This window comes from Homo sapiens, chromosome 2 (genome assembly GCF_000001405.40).
Source record: "Homo sapiens chromosome 2, GRCh38.p14 Primary Assembly".
NCBI lineage: Eukaryota > Metazoa > Chordata > Mammalia > Primates > Hominidae > Homo > Homo sapiens.
In genome coordinates, this window is record NC_000002.12 from 101,161,038 (window position 1) to 101,167,235 (window position 6,198).

General features: G+C 44.8%; 1 annotated feature.

The window, feature by feature from the left end:
* Positions 1,853–2,370: an enhancer, noted in NCBI's record as "OCT4-NANOG hESC enhancer chr2:101779352-101779869 (GRCh37/hg19 assembly coordinates)". NCBI's record gives its function as "activates a minimal SCP1, AML or CMV promoter by ChIP-STARR-seq in naive H9 embryonic stem cells {active_cell/tissue: H9 hESC(naive)}" and the evidence as "EXISTENCE:reporter gene assay evidence [ECO:0000049][PMID:30033119]".

The window sequence follows — 6,198 nt, forward strand, 5'->3', positions numbered from 1 at the left end:
CTCATGATCCACCCACCTCTGCCTCCCAAAGTGCTGGGATTACAGGCGTGACCCACTGTACCTGGCCTGTTTTGTTTTGTTTGTTTGTTTGTTTGTTTCTGAGACAGAGTCTTGCTCTGTTGCCCAGGATGGAGTACAGTGGTGGGATCTCAGCTCACTACAACCTCCACCTCCTAGGTTCAAGTGATTCTCCTGCCTCAGCCTCCCAAGTAGCTGGGATTACAGGAGCCTGCCACCACACCCAGCTCATTTTTGTATTTTTAGTAGAGATTACACGTTGGCCAGGCTGATCTCAAACTCCTGACCTCAGGTGATCCACCCACCTCGGCCTCCCAAAGTGCTGGGATTGCAGGCGTGAGCCACCAAGCCCGGCCTACAAACCAATTTTAGCCAACCTACCTTCTTGAATGCAATGAATTTCACCAATAAAATTACTCTTCTAACATCCCTTGGGATAATTAACAAAATCCTTGCCGTTGATTGGAGAGAAAGACAGCTGGAGTGCAGGCATTTTTGCTTTTTTTGAAATAGGGTCTGCTCTGTCGCCCAGGCTGGAGTGCAGCGGCGGGATCTTGGGTCACTGCAACCTCTGCCTCCAGGGTTCAAGTGATTTTCCTGCCTCAGCCTCCTGAGTAGTTGGGATTACAGGCACACACCACCACCACCCCCCGGCTAAAAGTGTAGGCATTTAATTACAGGTGCTCTACCGCTCCTGGAGTGTGCATTTGTTATTGGGATGAGGGTATATGCTGCTGTCTCTGGCATGTGGATTGAAACCAGTGAGCATGCACATATATGTCATTTCATAGCCTGTGCTAATATATTTTAAAGCAAATTACAGCCAACACAACCACCGCCCTCTTCCCTACCCAAGTCAGCCTTAGAAAGCACTTGCTTCAGGGGTTGGTGAGGAGGAGGGTCCCCTGGCATCCCCTTTCATAGGGACAGTGCACTCATCCATCTGTCATCTAGGGCAGTTCACCCAACCTCTGCTTGCATTTCCCTATCTCTGTACTTATATTATGTCAACATATTTGAAAGGCTCCAACAAAAGTCTAGCTAGCATCCAGCTCCTCAGAGTACCCTCCCAAGACTTTCCAGCCTGCACCCAGGCCAGGCACTCCTCTCTGGAGAAACAAGGACAAGGAGAGGCCAAAAGAGATGAGGGAGCAGAACTAGGCAGGGAAAAGCAAATCTTAGGTTTCCTTTTTAGCTCTTTTTGCATCTCAAAACACACACACACACACACACATTAGAATAGAAGAATCATAACAAATGGCAATGATTGTGAGTCTGCACATGTGCCAAGGAAAATTACGGTAGGGAATGTACAAATGGCCCTGTCCTATTCCAGATTCTTTCCCGATTTTACAACCAGTTTGTTTCATTTGTTTATAAGTCAGAGAACCTATATTAAGAACCCCTACACCATAATAGTATTAAATCAAAGGACAAAACCTTGCAATGTTCTCTAATTAGCTCTGAAAGATTACTAATCTTCAGCTGATACAGAATCTGCATTCTATTTCAATCATAAGCTCCTAAGCAGAAAGAAAAGAATTTTGATCGATTAAAAGGACCTTCATAAACTGGAATCTTCCCAAGGTACAAATTACACTGTTCATTCTGAGAACCCAGGATTTGACCTAAAAATGTTTTCTTTGCATGTTCAGCCATCACTGAACCAGTAAGAGCAGGACATCCTCTTATCCTGTCTGATTTCCGATTGTTATTCACCAGACTATACTGCGTCCTTTCCTCTTTCACTTCATCACACCTATTGATGTTAACATATTTTTTCTTCTGGATTTTAAGTATGTGTTTATTACCGTATTATTTAATCTACCCCCTAATTACCGAAATCTGTGTAAAACTATTCATGTCCCAATTATGTTATAACATATGTAGTCTATGGACATGATATAGTTGGGATACTGTTCTCCTCCAAATCTCAGGTTGAAATTTTGTAACCACATCAGAGCAATCTGGTTCAATTATCATGTAATAAAGTTGTGAGTTGTTTATTGGTTGCCATGGACGCCCAGGTTAAAGGTCAGGTAACCTGAGCACGCTCAAAGGAACCAAGCTTTGCAACCCCAGGGGGAACCTAAATGCTCAGACAAAGGAACAGGGACTAAATTAAGAAGCCACGCTGCCTGGCAGAATCCAGGATCCAATCAGATTGAGCTCTGGCATCACCCCATGGCAGGATCCAGTTAGATCATGCCTCCCGGCATCACCTCATTGCAAGATCTAATCAGATCACACTTCATTACCCTATACTTATAAGACCGAACCCAGGCCAGGCGCGGTGGCTCACACCTGTAATCCCAGCACTTTGGGAGGCCGAGGCGGGCAGATCACAAGGTCAGGAGTTCGAGACCAGCCTGACCAACATGGTGAAACCCCCATCTCTACTAAAAATACAAAAATTAGCTGAGCGTGGTGGTATGCCCCTGTAATCCCAGCTACTCAGGAGGCTGAAGCAGGAGAATCACTTGAATATGGGAGGCAGAGGTTGCAGTGAGCTGAGATGGCGCCACTGCATTCCAGCCTGGGTGACAGAGCAAGACTCTATCTCAAAATAAATAAATAATAAAAATAAAACTCAACCCAAACCCCTGCTTGGCAAGACAGATTTGAGCATTTCTCCTGTTTCCTTGCCAGTTGAATTGCAATAAAGTTTTTTTTTTCCCCATACAGAGTCTCATTCTATCGCCCAGACTGGAGTGCAGTGGCACAATCTCAGCTCACTGCAACGTCCACCTCCCTGGTTCAAGCAATTCTCCTGCCTCAGCCTCCCAAGTTGCTGGGATTACAGGCGTGTGCCACCATGCCCGGCTGATTTTTTTCGTATTTTTAGTAGAAATGGTGTTTCACCACGTTGTTCAGGCTGGTCTCAAACTCCTGAACTCAGGCAATCCACACACCTCAGCCTCCCAAAGTGCTGGGATTACAGGCATGAGCCATTGCACCCAGCCAGAGCTTTTCTTTTCTCAGAAGCTAGTGCCATGGTATTGGCCTCAATGCATATTGGGCAGTGAGCCTATTGATTTCTCAGTAACAATATGATCCCTAGTGTTGGAGGTGGGGCCAAGTGGGAGGTGTTTGGGTCATGAAGGCTGATCCCTCATGAATGTCTTGGTGCTGTCCTCATGGTAATGAGTGAATTCTTACTCTAGTAGTTCTCACAAGATCTGATTGTAAAAAAGAGCCTGGCACTTCCTCCTCTCTCTCTTTCCCCCTCACCATGTGACACGCCAGCTCCCTCTTTGCCTTCTGCCATGAGTAGAAGCTTCCTGAGGCCTCACCAGAAGCGGATGCTGGTGCCATGTACAGGCCTGTACAGCCTGCAGAACTGTGAGCCAAATAAACCTCTTTGCCTTATAAATTACCCTGCCTCAAGTATTTCTTTTCTTTTTTTCTTTTTTCTTTGTTTTTTTGAGACAGAGTCTCACTCTGTCATCCAGGCTGGAGTGCGGTGGCATGATCTCAGCTCGCTGCAACCTCCACCTCCCAGGTTCAAGCGATTCTCCTGCCTCAGCCTCCCGAGTAGCTGGGATTACAGGTGCCTGCCACCACACCCAGCTAATTTTCTGTATTTTTAGTAGAGATGGGATTTCGCCATGTTGCCCAGGCTGGTTTTGAACTCCTGAGCTCAGGTGATCCGCCTGCCTTGGCCTCCCAAAGTGCTGGGATTACAGGTGTGAGCCACTGCACTCAGTCTACCCTGCCTCAAGTATTTCTTTATAGCAACACTAGTGGACTAAGATGACACATGAGTGCATAGCTTCAGTGAAAGCAAGCTCAAATGTTTAATTCCCCTCATGTTACAGAAAATGCTATGAAATGAAAAAAAGGAAAATTTCTGTGAGACTCTAGAGCTCTGCTGTCCAATATGGTCACCACTAGCCATGTGTGGCTATTTAAATTTAAATGTATTTATTTATCTATTATTTTTATTTATTTATTTTGAGAAGGAGTCTTTCTCTGTCACCCAGGCTGGAGTACAATGGCACCATCTTGGCTCACTGCAGCCTCTGCCTCCCGGGTCCAAGCGATTCTCGTACCTCAGCCTCCTGAATAGCTGGGATTACAGGTACACACAACCACACCCGGATGATTTTTGTATTTTTAGTAGAGATTGGGTTTCACCATGTTGGCTAGGCTGGTCTCGAATTCCTGACCTCAGGTGATCTGCCCGCCTCAGCCTCCCAAAGTGCTGGGATTATAGGTGTGAGCCACTGTGCTTGGCTCTAGATTTAAATGTAAAGTAATGAAGTGTTTTTTAAAATAAAATTTCATTTTTCATTCACACTGGACACATTTTAATTGCTTAATCACCACATGTGGCTGGTGGCAACCCTAGAGTCTCAAAGCTGGAACTCACCAATTATAACTCGGTGATAAATAGAATTGTGTCTGTTAAATATTTATTTCTCCTCTTAAGTTTCCTTTGACAAACAAATACCTCACTGAGTTATATGGCTCTCGTTAGTGTGAACATCTATAAAGAAGATACAGGCTGGGCACGGTGGCTCACGCCTATAATCCCAGCACTTTGGGAGGCCAAGGCGGGCGGATCCACCTGAGGTCAGGAGTTCGAGACCAGCCTGACCAACATGGAGAAACTCCATCTCTACTAAAAATACAAAATTAGCTGGGCGTGGTGGTGCATGCCTGTAATCCCAGCTACGTGCGAGGCTGAGGCAGGAGAATTGCTTTAACCTGGGAGGCAGAGGTTTCAGTGAGCCGAGATCATGCCATTGCACTCCAGCCTGGGCAACAAGAGCAAAACTCATCTCAAAAAAAAAAAAAAAAAAAAGAAGATACAAATTAGAACATTTTTAGCTAATTATTTGCATTGTAAAAGAGCCCTAAACCCAGATTATAAGCCTGAAAAGAAAGGCCCAGGAAGTTCTATCTATGAGTTAATTGTTTCTTTTTTTCTTTTCTTTTTTTTTTTTTTTTTTTTTTTGAGACAGAATCTTGCTCTGTCGCCCAGGCTGGAGTGCAGTGGCACAATCCTGGCTCACTGCAAGCTCTGCCTCCTGGGTTCACACCATTATCCTGCCTCAGCCTCCCAAGTAGCTGGGACTACAGGTGCCCGCCACCACACCCGGCTAATTTTTTTGTTGTATCTTTTTAGTAGAGATGGGGTTTCACCATGTTAGCCAGGATGGTCTCGATCTCCTGACCTCATGATCCACCCACCTCAGCCTCCCAAAGTGCTGAGATTACAGGCATGAGCCACCGCACCTGGCCAATTGTTTCTTTTTAATGATGGTGGGGGAAAATAAATGTTAGGGGTGGGTGGTGGTCCATATGGAGAAAACATCATCTTGATGCCTTGCAGAACTTATAAGGAGGAGCATTTGAGACTGAATTATCTAGAATTTAATTTAGTAATTGAAAAGTTGGGAGGAAGATTTTACATTAAATGAAGCTGAATGAACACAGGCATTTATCTTTTCTCTCCTCCAAAGCTCCATTAAAATTATAGTAAATGGGATTAAAAGGAAATAAACTCGCAAGGATAAAAATAATAGGAGGGTAGAAAACAGCAGACTAGATAGCAATAACACTTTGGAAGTTGGAATGGAATGGAAAATGGTCTAAAAGATGGAAAAAGCACAAATCTAAAGAGACTCGGGAGAGCCCTGGTTGCACAGAGCTGAGCAATGTCTAGACAATTAGCTCTGAATTTCCCCAGGTTTCTGAGGGCTGGTTGAAACATGTGGATGAAAATAAGAAGTGTTGGTTGGGCCAGGCACGATGGCTCACGCCTGTAATCCAAACACTTTGGGAGGCCAAGGAGGGAGGATCACTTGAGTCCAGGAATTTGAGACTAGCCTGGGCAACATAGCAAAAACCTTGACTCTACAAAAAAAAAATAAAAGAAAAAAAAGAAGCATTGGTTGAAAGTTTATGGAACACTTTCAGTTTCTTTTCCCACATGCATAATCAGGAAAGTAGGTGATATAGTTTGAATGTATGTCCCTGCCCAAATCTCATGTTGAAATGTAATCCCCAGTGTTGGAGGTGGGGCCTGGTGGAAGGTGATTGGCTCATGCGGGTGGATCTCTCATGAATGGTTTAGCACCACCTGCTTGGTACTGTCCTCACTATAGCAAGTGAGTTCCTGTGAGATCTGGTCATTTAAAGGTGTGTGGCACCTCCCCCATCTCACTCTTGCTC